The 14,681-nt window shown below is 45.1% G+C and overlaps 1 long non-coding RNA gene and 3 pseudogenes across 2 annotated transcripts in view, besides 3 other annotated features; 1 reads left to right on the plus strand and 3 right to left on the minus strand.

The window, feature by feature from the left end:
* The window catches only part of PDXDC2P-NPIPB14P (PDXDC2P-NPIPB14P readthrough, transcribed pseudogene), an 89,652-nt pseudogene extending 88,944 nt beyond the window's left edge, over window positions 1-708 (minus strand). Inside the window, exon 1 of the transcript NR_003610.1 lies at window positions 516-708. The product of NR_003610.1 is annotated as a PDXDC2P-NPIPB14P readthrough, transcribed pseudogene (transcript). The remainder of the gene's footprint in view (window positions 1-515) is intronic.
* Window positions 1-708, minus strand: part of PDXDC2P (pyridoxal dependent decarboxylase domain containing 2, pseudogene) — a 54,947-nt pseudogene extending 54,239 nt beyond the window's left edge.
* Window positions 495-814: a silencer, noted in NCBI's record as "silent region_7668". NCBI's record gives its function as "represses an Ori minimal core promoter by ATAC-STARR-seq in GM12878 lymphoblastoid cells {active_cell/tissue: GM12878}" and the evidence as "EXISTENCE:reporter gene assay evidence [ECO:0000049][PMID:35858748]".
* Window positions 495-1,195: a biological region, named in NCBI's record as "H3K27ac hESC enhancer GRCh37_chr16:70099725-70100338".
* Window positions 582-1,195: an enhancer, noted in NCBI's record as "H3K27ac hESC enhancer chr16:70099725-70100338 (GRCh37/hg19 assembly coordinates)". NCBI's record gives its function as "activates a minimal SCP1, AML or CMV promoter by ChIP-STARR-seq in naive H9 embryonic stem cells {active_cell/tissue: H9 hESC(naive)}" and the evidence as "EXISTENCE:reporter gene assay evidence [ECO:0000049][PMID:30033119]".
* On the plus strand, window positions 1,032-4,688 carry LOC124903706 (uncharacterized). Its single transcript, XR_007065099.1, has 2 exons — window positions 1,032-1,250; window positions 3,815-4,688. It is a non-coding gene; the product is annotated as an uncharacterized LOC124903706 (long non-coding RNA).
* On the minus strand, window positions 13,843-14,421 carry RPS10P24 (ribosomal protein S10 pseudogene 24; annotated as a pseudogene).

Raw genomic sequence — 14,681 nt, forward strand, 5'->3', positions numbered from 1 at the left:
CGCATTTTACCAAAGGCCCCAGGTGATTCCCACTCAGGCTGAAGTTGGAAAACCACTGCTTTAGCAATTTTCATTCCTAACTCGGAGACCAAGAAAAACCCACAGGTTTGCAGCTGGCTCTGAAATAACTGCGGCTTCTTTCCGGGAGCATCTGGGGCCGCCAACGGAGAGCTCCCGGTCCTCCGAAAGGGCCAGCCGAGCTCAGGCCGGCCACTCGCGGAACCTCGGCAGGGCCCAAGGTCGGCCCCGCGGTCCCAGTCCTGGGCTCCGGGCCCCTCGCGGCCCCCACGGAACCCCGCCCAGCCTCTTCGGCCCACGGGGACCCAAGAGACACCCGGCCCCGTGACGCGCCCGGGCCCCAGCCGCCCTCCCGGCGAGGCCTCCTCAGGCGAGGCCTGTCAGCCCGCGTCCCCCTGTCCGGGTCACAATGGCAGCTCGCGACTGGGAAATAGTTGCCTCGGAAGCGGGAGCCCCGGGCCGCAGCACCGTCCCCATCGCCCCCTCCCGGCACGCACCTTCTCCAGGGACGCGTCCATGGCTGAGGCGGCCGGTGGTGGCCCGGCGGTCCCGGGCTCTACTTCCTCCTCCCGCGCCCCGCAGCTCTTTCCACGCTGGCAGCGCTGACGTCCCCCGCGCCCGCGGCCAGCGGGGCGGAGAAGAGGAGGAGCTGCCAGGCGGCGCCGCCGGCTGCCGAACCTGATGGTTGAGGGGCGGCGGGGCGGCGGGGCGGGGCCCTGTAATGGTGGGCGGAGCCCTCTGGGATTCCGTACCTGGGCGCCACGCCGGCCCTCCCTAACGTGCGCAGGTGAAGGGGGGAGGATGCCCGGTGGATTGTTCACCAAACTCTTTCCAGCAGCCTGTTGCAATCATCTAGGTAGAAGTATAATAATCACAAAGTACTATTCATGGAGTGAAAGGCTGGAAATACTAGTGACGCACCTCACTTCCGGGCCCAGGCTTCCAAGTCTCCCGCCTCACCTCCCGCCGGCATCCCTCGAGAATGGAACAGGCCATTCGCCAAGGAGGCGGTGAGCGAGAGAGCAACCTTGCGCATGCGCAGGACTCGCAGCGTCCTCGGCGCCCGGGGACTTGGGGGTTTTGGGGTTGGGGGCTGCTTAGTGAACGCTGTTCAGAGAAGGCACTGATCTAAGCTGAGGTGTTGTCTCAGACCCTACCGCCGAATTCTAGACGGAAAAAATTGTTGAAACAACTGGTCCAGCCTCTTGCATGTCACAATTATGACTTGTCAGGTAATGGGTAGTAGTAATAATGATAATATTAATACATCAGCTGCTGTTCTTCCATTTTCCTATTTCAGCAGCTCTAGGAGATCATTATCCCCATTTCGCAGTGCCGATCTAGGTAGGATTCAGACCCAAGCCCCATGAGTCCACATACTGCTTCCACTCCTACGTTACTTTAAATGTTTTAAAAAGTTAATTTTTTATTAATTTTTTTATCTTGTTAACCGATGAACTGAAGAGAAAAAAAATTAAAATCTCATTTTAATAGAGAAGGTGGGGGTGTCTCACTATGTTACCCAAGCTGGCTTCAAACTCCTGGCCTCAGGCGATCTTCCCGTCTCAGCTTCCCCAAGTGCTGGGATTACAGGCGTGAGCTACCACGCCCGGCCACTTTTGCAATTTTACTGCAATGTGTTTCGAACGAATGGGGAGGGCGTACATTTGCTTAGTAGATTCCTCCCACCTTAATGTGGGAAACTGATGTAGACTACCACAGTGGCAATCAATGGAACACTTCACCTCTGCGAGGACGCTGCAACCACAATCTTACTCCTTTTCTCTCCTGTTTTATACTCTTCGTCCCGAAATCTGTGTAAACAGGGTCACATTTTCAGCGCAGTAACTCCATGTTTTGAGCTATCTACGTTGTATTTGGTAAATTGCCTGGTTATGTTAATAAAATTATTTTCTACCAAAAAACCCTTGTGTGCTGGTTTAGACTGTACTGTGGGAATTATTCTGACTCTCTAAAGAGCTTTCCAAACAGAAGGAATGATAGATTTATGTCTTTCAAGAATTGAAGATTGAATGTACCCCTGCTTGAGCAAAACAAGTCACTTTTCCAACGTGTTTTGAAATTTTTCAAAGGTAGAAAAGTTTAAACAATTGTACAGTGAACAACCATATACCCACTACCTAGATTCTACAGTTAATTTTCCCTATATTTGCTTTAATCACATATGCATCCATATATCCATCCATCGATATATGTTAGTACATTTCACCTCTGAGCACCTCAGTATGGGTATCATTCAAAACTAGTACATTTTACTAAAGTCACCTCCAAGTTTCTGTGGATTACATTACAAAGTATAATAGATTCTACAAAACAAATACTAGAGAGAAAAGTTAACTTTACTGTTTTAAAAGTAGTCTTTGAAAACCCAACATGAAAAAGTGGAAATAATCAACCGTATTATTTATTATATTTAGCCAAACATTTATTGACTGCCATCTCGGACAGTTGTGCTGGAAATAGTATGTAAAAGAATAAGAGGCTGGTTCAAGACCAGCCTGGCCAACATAGTGAAACTCCGTCTCTACTAAAAATACAAAAAATTAGCTGGGCGTGGTGGCAAACACCTGTAATCCCAGCTACCTGGGAGGCTGAGGCAGGGGAATCACTTGAACCCCCGGGGGCAGAGGTTGCAGTGAGCCGAGATTGCGCCACTGCACTCCAGCCTGGGCAATAAGGCGAGACTCCATCTCAAAAAACAATAAAAATACAAATAAGAGGCTGGGCTGGGCGCGGTGGCTCACGCCTGTAATCCCAGCACTTTGGGAGGCCGAGGCGGGCGGATCACGAGGTCAGGAGATCGAGACCATCCTGGCTAACACGGTGAAACCCCGTCTCTACCAAAAATACGAAAAGAAATTAGCCGGGCATGGTGGCGGGCGCCTGTAGTCCCAGCTATTCTGGAGGCTGAGGCAGGAGAATGGCGTGAACCCGGGAGGCGGAGCTTGCAGTGAGCAGAGATCGCACCGCTGCACTCCAGCCTGGGCGACAAAGCGAGACTCTGTCTCAAAAGCAAAATAAAATAAAAAAATTTAAAAATTTTAAAAAGGCTGGGCGCGGTGGCTCATGCCTGTAATCCCAGCACTTTGAGAGGCCGAGGTGGGCGGATCACCTGAGGTCAGGAGTTGGAGAACAGCGTGGCCAACAAGGTGAAACCCTCGTCGGTACTAAAAATAGAAAAATTAGTGGGTGTGGTGGTGTGCGCCTGTAATCCCAGCTACTCGGGAGGCTGAGGCAGCAGAATCGCTTCAACCTGGGAGGCAGAGGTTGCAGTGAGCCAAGATTGCACCACTGCATTCCAGCTTGGACGACAAGAGCAAGACTCCGTCTCCACACACACACACACACACACACACACACACACACACACACACACAACAAAGACAAGCTCTCTGCCCTGAAGAAAAACACTATTTTGGGTAGAAGTTTTTACTTTGGGATGCAGATGGAGGTCTCTGAAACTATACTCAACATTTTGTGTGTGAGTGGGTGCATTTTTCTGGGGAAAACATCCATTGTCTTCATTATATACTCAAGTCTGTGATTCCCCCCATCCCCGAAAAAAAAAATGTTGAAACCATTTGGCTTGTGGATGCACAGATAGGAAAACTGATACATTATAATGCAACATTCTATGGACTAGTGAAGAGAGATAAGCAGAATATTGTACAGTTTGGAGCACGAAGCCATCAATTGTGGGGAGGTTTAATCTCTACTGACATGGCTTTATGTGCTGCTAACAGACCTGTCTTTTTCTTTCTTTTTCTTTTTCCAGACGAGCCTCACTCTGTTGTCCAGGCTGAAGTGTAATGGTGCAGTCTCGGCTCACTGCAACCTCTGCCTCCCCGGTTCAAGCGATTCTCCTGCCTCAGCCTCCCTGAGTAGCTTCGACTAGAGGCGTGCGCCATCGCACACACTGTATTTTTAGTAGAGACAGGGTTTTACCATGTTGGCCAGGCTGGTCTCAAACTCCCAACCTCAAGTGATCCTCCTGCCTCGGCCTCCCAAAGTGTTTAGATTTCAGGCCTGAGCCACCGAGCCTGGCCTCAAACACTTCTCTTTTTTTCTTTTTTTTGAGATGGAGTCTCGTTCTGTCGCCAGGCTGGAGTGCAGTGGCACCATCTCTGCTCACTGCAAGCTCCGCCTCCCGGGTTCAAGCAATTCTCCTGCCTCAGCCTCCTGAGTAGCTGGGATTACAGGTGCGTGCCACCAAGCCTGGCTAATTTTTGTGTTTTTAGTAGAGACGGGGTTTCACTAGTTGGACAGGCTAGTCTCCAACTCCTGACCTCAGGTGATCCACCCACCTTGGCCTCCCAAAGTGCTGGGATTACAGGCGTGAGACACCAGGCCCAGCCTCAACTGTAGACTTTTAACTCAAAGGTACAAAAATTGGATTATGTCTGGGCCAGTTTTTTCCCTTGTCGATAGTATAGCCCATTGGTTAGAGTTCAGACTGAGGCTACAAGTAGAACTGGATTCTTTCTTTTTTTTTTTTTTAAGCTGTATAAGTGAAAACTACTTGGGCAAGTTACTTAACCTCTTGGTATATTAGTTTCCTCATCTGTAAAATTCTGGTTATGCTTGCCTTTTAGTGTTTGTTAAACATTCTTATGATCAAAAAACAAGCAAATAAAAACTCCTTATCTTCATCCACATCCCCTTCTGGTTACACCTAATGGTCTCAATTTTCTCATCACACAAGCACCACCAACTCATCTCAATCTAGCTTCGGCTTTGTTCCCTCCACCCAAACCAGTGTCACTAAAACCATCTCAGTCCATCACACCTGACCTCTCAGCAGCCCTAGAACCAGATGATCACTTTCTTCTTGAAACTGACTTTCCATGCTTCCCACAATATCAAATTCTCCGGATCGTCACCTTCCCTTTCTGCCTGTTCCTTCTCAATGTCTTTTGGAGTTTCTTCCTTCTCCACCCAATGTTTAATTGTTGGATTTCCTCAGCACTCAGCTGGCAAGCCTTTTTTTTTTTTTTTTGAGACAGAGTCTCGCTCTGTTGCCCATGCTGGAGGGCAGTGGTGTATCTTGACTCACTGCAACCTCCACCTCCCAGGTTCAAGCGATTTTCCTGCCTCAGACTCCCGAGTAGCTGGGATTACAGGCACGTGCCACCATGCCCAGCTAATTTTTGTATTTTTAATAGAGACGGGGTTTCATCATATCGGTCAGGCTGGTCTGGAACTCCTGACCTTAGGTGATCTACCCACCTCAGCCTCCCAAAGTGCTGGGATTACAGGCGTGAGCCACTGTGCCCGGCCTGGAAAGTCCTTTTGATTTCTTCTTCTACATAATTTCATCCTCCATTATTTCAATTAACATCTATATCAAACTGAGAGTACTTCATCAGTGGGTTGTGATATCAACCATTGGGTCATGAGTGGCAATTTTTTAAAAAATGAAATAGGATGCAAAACATCAGAGCACATCACGTGGATTAAGGATAATTGGGCAGTAACCCAAATGTCCATCAACAGACAAACAGATAAACAACTTGTGGCCTATCCCTACAATGGAATGGAGTACTGTACTGCAAGTAAAGGGAGTACATTATTGATCCATGGGACACCACAGATTAGGAGTTGGCAGAGTTTTTCTGTAAAGGGCCTGGTTGTAAATATTTCAGGCTTTGCAAGCTGTAGTTTAGGTTCTTGCGATCTCGGTCTCAAGTATTTGATTCTGTAGCATGGAAACAGCCATAGATGGTATGTAAACAAGTGAGCGTCGCTGTGTTCCAATAAAGCTTTATTTATAGACATTGAATTTTGGATTTCATTTAATTTACATGTGTCACAAAATATTCTTCTTTGAGTTTTTTTTCAATCACTTAAAAGTATAAAGTCATACTGAGCTCTTAGGCCTTTGCATAATCAGGTAGTGGGCCAGATTTGGCCCACAGGCCCTAGTTTGCTGGTCCCTGTCATAGATGAATCTTAAAAACATTATGCCGAGTGAAAGAAGCCAGATACATGGCCTGGAGCCTGTAATCCCAGTACTTTGGGAGGCCGAGGTGTGAGGTTCGCTTGAGCCCAGGAATTTGAGGCCAGCCTAGGCAACATAGAGAGACCCAGTCTCTACCAAAAAAAAAAAAATTAGCTGGGAATGGAGGATTTCTCAAGCCTGGGAGGTTGAGGCTGCAGTGAGCTGTGATTGCACCACTGCACTCTAGCCTGGGTGACACAGCAAGACCCTGTCTCCAAGGAAATAAAAAAGCCAGATACAAGTGAATACCTATTTCATATGTATACTGTATATATGCTCTATGGTTTCATTTATATGGAATTCTAGAAAATGCAAACTATAATGACAGAAAGCCTGGGGCTGAGATGGAGGGGGAATTGACTGCCAAGGGGTGCTGGGGAATTTTTGGAAATGACAGAAGAGCTCTGTATTTTAATCGTGGTGGTTACACAGGTATATACATTTGTCAAAACCTGTTGAACTGTACATGTAATACGGGTGAATTTTATTATATTATGTAAAACATGAAAATCTATTATGTAAAACATACTTCAACAAAGTTGATTAAAAAATATCAGAGCATTGGTTGGTTATTTACTATTGGGTAAAAAAATTCTTTTCTTTTTTTTTTTTGAGACCGAGTCTCACTCTGTTGCCCAGGCTGGAGTGCAGTGGTGTGATCTCAGCTCACTGCAACGTCTGCCTCCCAGGTTCAAGCGATTCTTATGCCTCAGCCTCCCAGGTAGCTGGGACTACAGGTGTGAGCCACTATGCCCAACTAATTTTTGTATTTTTAGTAGAGACAGGGTTTCACCATGTTGGCCAGACTGGTCTCAAGCTCCTGACCTCAAATGATCCAACTCAGCCTCCCAGAGTGCTGGGATTACAGGTGTGAGCCACCATGCCTAGCCAAAAATTTCTTAAAAAAAAAGAAAAAAGAAAAAAAATCAGAGCATCTTCTATGGTAGTAAGGGTACTCATTGCTTCTGAAACTTCTGCCTCAGTTGTACACATTTATAGCTGTGCCTTGATTGCACTGGACTCCTCTTCCACCCTAAACCAGGGATTCTCACACTCCACATCCCATAAAAGCTCCCCATCATCCACCCAGCTGTTCACGCCAGGAACCAGGGTGTCTTCCTCTCTCTCACACTTTCCCTTCCCTAACCCCTTCCAATCAGTGTTGCCACTTCCACCTCCTAAATATCTCTCAAAGCTGTCTGCATCTCTATTTCCGTTGCTACCGCCTTGACTACTGCCATATCTAAGCAGTCTCTGTAGCCAAACCATTCTCAATACAGAAACCAGAGTCATCTGTTAAATGTAGAAATCAGATCATCTGCTTACAGGCCTTCAGCTATCCATGGAATAAAGCGAGCATCCTTCACTTGGCCCATGAGTATATAATATGGCCCCTGCCTACCTCTTTGGTCTCTGGCTGTCATTATTCCCTTGATTATTCTCTTGGTCTTTTTGTTGTTGTTGTTGTTGTTTCTTTTTGTTTTTGTTTTGAGACAGGGTCTCACTTGGTTACCCAGGCTGGAGTGCAGTGGCGTGAACACAGCTCACTGCAACCTCGACTTCCCAGGCTCAAGTGATCCTCCCACCTCAGCCTCCCGAGTAGCTGGGACCACAGGTGTACACCATCATGCCTGGCGAATTTTTTTGTATTTTTGTGTGTTTCACCATGTTGCCCAGGCTGGTCTCCAACTCCTGAGTGCAAATGATCCACCTGCCTCGGCCTCCCAAAGTGCTGGGATTACAGGCGCGAGCCACAGTGCCCCCCTTGGTCTTTCTGTACAGCAAGATCTTTCCTGACAAGCCGTTTTCTTCGATGAGACTGTTCTTTTTTCCCCTTCCCTTTTGTCTTGTGTAACTTCTAATCCCTTTGGTAGAAGTGTAAGTATCATTTTCTCAGGGAAATCTCATGAGTGCTTATAGGCACCTGTCTTTCTCCTTTATGTACTTGGCACAATCACAATTAATTAGTTGCTTAATGTCTACCTCCCTTGATAGATTATCAATGCCATATCTGCAGGGACAGAATCTGTCTTTAATATTATTGTGTCCCCAAGTGACTGCAAATAAGCTCTCAAAAAATAGTCATAGAATTAATGAGTAATGAATCCACATACTGGCACAGTGTGTATATTTTATTTCCAAAACATTTCCAATGTTTTCAATCTGGTTTTAATGAGCATCATATTTTATTTTATTTATTTATTTTTTGATACCGAGTCTTGTTCTGTCACCCAGGCTGGAGTGCAGTGGCTTGATTTCAGCTCACTGCAACCTCTGCCTCCTGGGTTTGAGCAATTCTCCTGCCTCAGCCTCCTGAGTAGCTGGGATTACAGGTGCCCACCACCATGCCTGGCTAATTTTTGGAGTTTTATTAGAGACCGGGTTTGACCATGTTGGCCAGGCTGGTCTTGAACTTGTGACCTCAGGTGATCTGCCCGCCTCAGCCTCTGAAAGCTCTGGGATTACAGGTGTGAGCCACCATGCCCGGCCGAGAATCATATTTTAAAGACACTACATGGAGGCAGAGGTATTTACCTCCCAAGTCTAGCTAATCCAGTGCCTAGGATGCAGTGGGAGTTCAATAAATAATTACTAAATACATGAATTCAACAAATATTTTCTGAAGGTGCATTATATACCACACAGTATTTTAGAAATTGGAGATACAATAATCATTAAAAGAGATTAAGTCTTTGCCTTTTGTGGATTATTTTTTTTTTTTAACTTGAGGTAGGTCTCACTTTGTCCTCCAGGCTGGAATGCAGTGGCATGATCCTGGCTCACTGCAGCCTCAACCTTCAGTGTTCAAGTGATCCTTCTACCTCAGCCTCCCAAACTGCTGGGACTACAGGAATGCACCACCACGCCCAGCTAATTTTTTAATTTTTGAAGAGGTGGGGTCTCCCTATGTTGCTCTGGCTGGTCTTTGAGCACCTGGGTTCAAGTGATCCTCCTGCCCTGGCCTCCCAAAGTGCTGGGATTACAGGCGTGAGCCATTGTGCCTGGCTATTTTTGTGGATCTTATATCCTATTGTAACAGAGAGATAAGTAGCTATATAATGTATGTTAATTACTTGTAAATACCATAAGAAAAATAAAGCAAAATAAAAGAGAGTAAATTATGCATGAATCCATCCCTTGGTCGTCAATTTGAAATCTCTGCTCTGAAACATCGAAAATGTTTTAGAGAATGTTTGCTCAGTGATAACTAGCTAGATATAGAAGAAAGCAACACCAGCCACTACCATCAATGATTTGTTGATTTATTATTAATTTTCAAGACCTTGAGGAAAGTATTCCCATTGACAATTTTTCTGGTACTCAAAGGACCTTTTTGTTTTTGTTTTTGTTTTTGTTTTTTTGAGCTAGGCTCTCACTCCTGTCTCTCACGCTGGAGTGCAGTGGTGTTTCAGCTAACTGCAACCTCTGCCTCATGGGCTCAAGCCATCCTCCCACCTCAGCCTCCACAGTGGCTAGGACACAACCACCCCTGGCTAATTTTTGTATTTTTGGTAGAGATGGGGTTTCACCATGTTGTCCAGGCTGGTCTCAAACTCCTGAGCTCAAGCATCCGTTCACCTTGGCCTCCCAAAGTGCTGGGATTACAGGCATAAGCCACCACACCTGGCTGAAAATAAGAATTTTTATTAGCATTTTAAACTATAATTGATGTTTAATTTGTTTCAGATTTATTTACATTTCATGAAAGTGAACAGGCTTCTCTAAAACTGTGTGCCCAGAAGGCAAATGGGCAAAGACATTAACAGACAATATAAAAAGGAAAAACATGCAAATAGTCAACATGACAAAAAGTTCAACATTACTAGTAACCAAAAAAATGCAGAAATGGATCAAATAGCATTTTTGCCTATAATTAGCAAAGTTTTTTAAAAAAATAATAACATCCGGCTGGGCATGGTGGCTCACACCTGTACTCCCAGCACATTGGGAAGCCGAGGCAGGCGGATCACGTGAGGTCAGGGGTTCGAGACCAGCCTGACCAACATAGTGAAACCCCATCTCTACTAAAAATACAAAAATTGGCCGGGCATGGTGACGCATGCCTTGTAGTCCCAGCTACTCAGGAGGCTGAGGCAGGAGAATTGCTTGAACCCGGGAGGCGGAGGTTGCAGTGAGTGGAGATCGTGCCAATGAACTCCAGCCTGGGCGACAGAGCGAGACTTTGTCTCAAAAAATAAAATAAAATAAATAACATAAATAAATAAAATAAATAAAATAACAAATAAAATAAAACATAAATAAAATAAAATAAAATAAAATAACATCCCGTGTTAGTGTAGATGGAAGTAAGTATTCTCGGCCGGGCCCGGTGACTCATGCCTTATTATATCTTATTGTAATGGATTTTTCCTGTAGGACTATTTTACTTTGTTATAGTAAGAGTAAGAGGGACATTTTGTGATTTAGGAATTTGTAATTAACTGTTAACTGTAATATAAAGTAGGTGATTTATTCTTACCAGTGGCTCATGCCTGTAATCCCAGCACTTTGAGAGGCTAAGGTGGGAGCATTGCTTGAGCCCAGGAGTTGGAGACTAGCTCAGGCAACATAGTGAGACCCTTCTCTACAAAAAAATTAAAAATTGGCCTCGTGCGATGGCATGTGCCTGTAGTCCCAGGGATTCAGGAGGCTGAGGCGGGAGGATTGCTTGAGCCCAGAAGAGTGAGGCTGCAGCGAGCCGTGATCGTGCCACTGCACTTCAGCCTGGGTGATACAGCGAGACCAAGACCCTGTCTCAAAAGAAAAAAAAAAAAAAGATGAATTATCACCAGCTATGATTGTCTTTGTATGACTTAGTGACTTGATTTTTCCACAGAAATCTTTTAAATCTTAGGCTAATTGTTCCTGAAATCCAGCATGTTTCTTTTCTTTCTTTCCTTTTTCTTCTTTTCTTTAGAGACAGGGATCTCTCTCTGTTGCCCAGGCTGGAGCACAATGGAGGAGTCACAGCTCACTGTAGCCTTGAACTCCTGGCTTAAGTGATCCTCCTGCCCCAGCCTCCCAAGCAGCTAGGACTACAGGCACACACCACCACACCTGGCCAATCTTTTAATTTTTTTTTGTAGAGATGAGGTCTCTCTGTGTTGCCCAGGCTGGTCTTGAACTCCTGGGCTCAAGCAGTCGTCTTGCCTCAGCCTCCCAAAATGCTGGGATTATAGGTGTGAGCCACCGCACCCAGCCTGGAATCCCATTTTAAATGTACTGATGGAGTTGACAATGTCAAGGAAACTTGCGTTAATTTTTAAATTTTGTTTTTTGTATAGTGGATCCTTTCACAACATGAATAATTGCCCAATTTTATGTTTTGTCAATCTAGGACAGACCACTAGATAAGACAAGATTATAATTTGGGGAGTTGGCTTTCTTGATCAGTTTTCAGTGAAGGAAAAGTTACAATTTGTAAACTTATTTTTAACACCACCATAGTGATCATTTGATCAGTTTGTGAGAATGGCCCATCTGGTGGGTATCTCCAAGCACAGTTACAACTGTTTTTTCTTTTTTCCCGTTTTATCACAAAGTCTTATAAACTGAAGGCAATTATATGTTTTTATTGTTTATTTATTTTAGACACAGGGTTTTGCTCAGTCGCTCAGGCTGGAGGGCAGTGGTGAGATTATAGCTCATTGCAGCCTCAAACTCCTGGGTTCTGGCAATCCTCACACCTCAGTCTCCTAAAGCACTGGGACTATACGTGCATGCCGCCATGTTTGGCTGCAGTTACATCTTTTTATGTTAGTGTGTGATCTTTATTTGGGCATCTGTCAGTAGGTCCACTGTTGAACAGAGAACTAGTTAAAGTGACAAACAATGATGTCATTTGCTTTGCAAGTTGAGGAAATGAATATTAATTAGATATATCCACCAAAATGTAATTTTATTCATGCACTTTACCAAAGTTCCTTCCTATACAATAGTTCTTTTCTTGGCTGTTCATTTTCATCGTGATTTAATGAAGTCCCATCTGCTCAATTTAAGTGACCATCTTACATTTAGCCAGAATATACTGAGAAAAGTGCTGGAATCCCTCTCATTTTTTTATTTTTCTTTTTTGAGATGGAGTCTTTTTCTGTCACCCAGGCTGGAGTGCAGTGGTGCAATCTGCTCACTGCAACCTCTGCTTCCTGGGATGAAGTGATTGTCCTGCCTCAGCCTCCCGAGTACCTGGGGTTACAGGCGCCCACTACCGCGCCTAGCTAATTTTTGTATTTTTAGTAGAGATGGGGTTTCACTATGTTGACCAGGCTGGTCTGGATCTCCTGACTTCAAGTGATCCGTCCGCCTCGGCCCCCCAAAGTTCTGAGATTACAGGCGTGAGTCACGGCGCCTGGCTCTCCTCCCATTTATTGAGGAAATCCTGTCTTAAATCATTTTGTAACAAAGTAGGGTTTAAATAAATAATTCTGAGGAATTGTACACATTGTATTTTTTTTTCCTGACTGATTTTGTGCGAAAGGTAATTCCCTAGTTATCTCCCATAGATGACTATATGTTGTGTTGTACTTGGTTCTTAAATACTCAGTCACTGAGATTTACTTAGGCCATGGTTGAGAATGTTGAAAGCTTACGCTTTGGTTGAGAATTTTAAATGATCTCATAAATCTAGATTGACAAATTGTATTTTTGTATATGTGAGTTGTGCTATTGTCAGATAGCTACTTCTATTAAAGAGCTGATTACCAAGTTATGGAGTTTGGATATGCAGTGAAAATTCAGCTTTTAGAAGCCACAAGAAGACCAAAATGATAGCAGAATACAATAACTGAAGTTGCAACTGCTATGAAGTCTATACTATTTTAAAGAATGTTCCATGGCCTGGCGCGGTGGCTCAAGCCTGTAATCCCAGCACTTTGGGAGGCCGAGGCGGGTGGATCACGAGGTCAGGAGATCGAGACCATCCTGGCTAACACGGTGAAACCCCGTCTCTACTAAAAGTACAGAAAAATTAGCCGGGCGTGGTGGCAGGCACCTGTAGTGGTAGCTACTCGGCAGACTGAGGCAGGAGAATGGCGTGAACCCGGGAAGCGGAGCTGGCAGTGAGCCGAGATGGAGCCACTGCACTCCAGCCTGGGCGACAGAGCGAGACTCCGTTTCAAAAAAAAAAAAAAAAACCAAAACAAAACCAAAAAAAGAGTGTTCCAGAAAATTGCCATTTATTTATCTAATATGTACTGTTAAGCTAGAATCTGTCAGAATAGTTGAATTTTGAAGAAAATAGTAGCCGAGCATGGTGGTGGGCACCCATGATTCCAGCTCCTTGGGAGGTTAAAGCAGAAGCATCACTTGACCCCAGGAATTCAAGACCAGCATGGGCAACATAGCGAGACCCTGTCTTTAAAAACTTTTTTTTTTTTTTGAGACAGAGTTAGCTCTTGTTGCCCAGGTTGGAGTGCAGTGGCGTGATCTCAGCTCACTGCAACCTCCGCCTCCCAGGTTCAAGTGATTCTTCTGCCTCAGCCTCCCGAGTAGCTGAGATTACAGGCGCCTGCCGCCACACCCGACTAATTTTTTGTATTTTTAGTAAAGGCAGGGTTTCATCATGTTGGCCAGGCTGGTCTCAAACTTCTGACCTCAGGTGATCTGCTCGCCTCTGCCTCCCAAAGTGCAGGGATTACAAGCGTGAGCCACTGCGCCTGGCCAAAAACAAGTTTTTTTAAAAAAAAGTAAAATAAGGGCCTGTGACACAACTGAACTTCAATATAAATTGTTTCCAAAACTAGGGAAGACATTCAGAATCAAACCACAGGTTAAACACCGGCTTAAGCAGAAGGACCTGCATTTTTTTTTCTGTCTATAAGTTTATTCAATGCAAAATAATCCTCTCCAGTTTTACTGAGGTCACTGACCACACCCACAACCAAATCTGCTTCTAAACTGGAATTTGGTTGCTGACCCAACCCCGGCCTCGGCTTTCTCATCGGACCAGGGGACACAGCACTCTGTCTGTGGGTGTCTTTTGGCTTCCCCTTTTGTGAGCTTTGCGGGTTGCTCACCCTCCAGACCTTTAGGCCAAAGCCTGCCAGTCTCTGGATGCCTGTGGTATAGGGTGGAAGGCACAGTCTCACGGGGCAGATGGAGGTAATCAGAGATACTGGATACCGTCGTTGGTAAGGTACCAGTAGAAATGTCTCCAGACAAACCGTTCCTTCACGTAGCCTTAAGACTTGAGAGACTGCATGGCCTTCATGATGTAAAGGTTGGGCACATTCTTGTCTTCTGCCAGGTCTGGGTACTTAGGAAGGTGGACATCCTTCTTGGCCACCATGACTCCCTCCTTAAAAAGGAGTTCATAGATGGCAATCCCGTTCTTCTTAGGCATCAGCATCTTGGTGGCTGCAGGGCCCAGTTCCGGGGCTGGAGAGACCTGCAACTTAACAGAGATCGCATCTTCCAAGTCAAGACATTTGAAGGAAGAGATGCTAATCCATCCCGTAGAAGACAATATTGTGTCTCTAGTAAATGTTGGATGTGCTTTTGATTACTCAGAAAAATTTTTATATAACCTATTTTCCACATCTCCCAAACTAGATCATAGCAGTGGGGCTTAAAGGGTATGCAAACTTCAAACTTTTTAGATTAAACTTAACTCTTCGGTAGGAAAGGTGAAGGACTGGTAGGAAAA

Source organism: Homo sapiens, chromosome 16, assembly GCF_000001405.40.
Source record: "Homo sapiens chromosome 16, GRCh38.p14 Primary Assembly".
Lineage (NCBI taxonomy): Eukaryota > Metazoa > Chordata > Mammalia > Primates > Hominidae > Homo > Homo sapiens.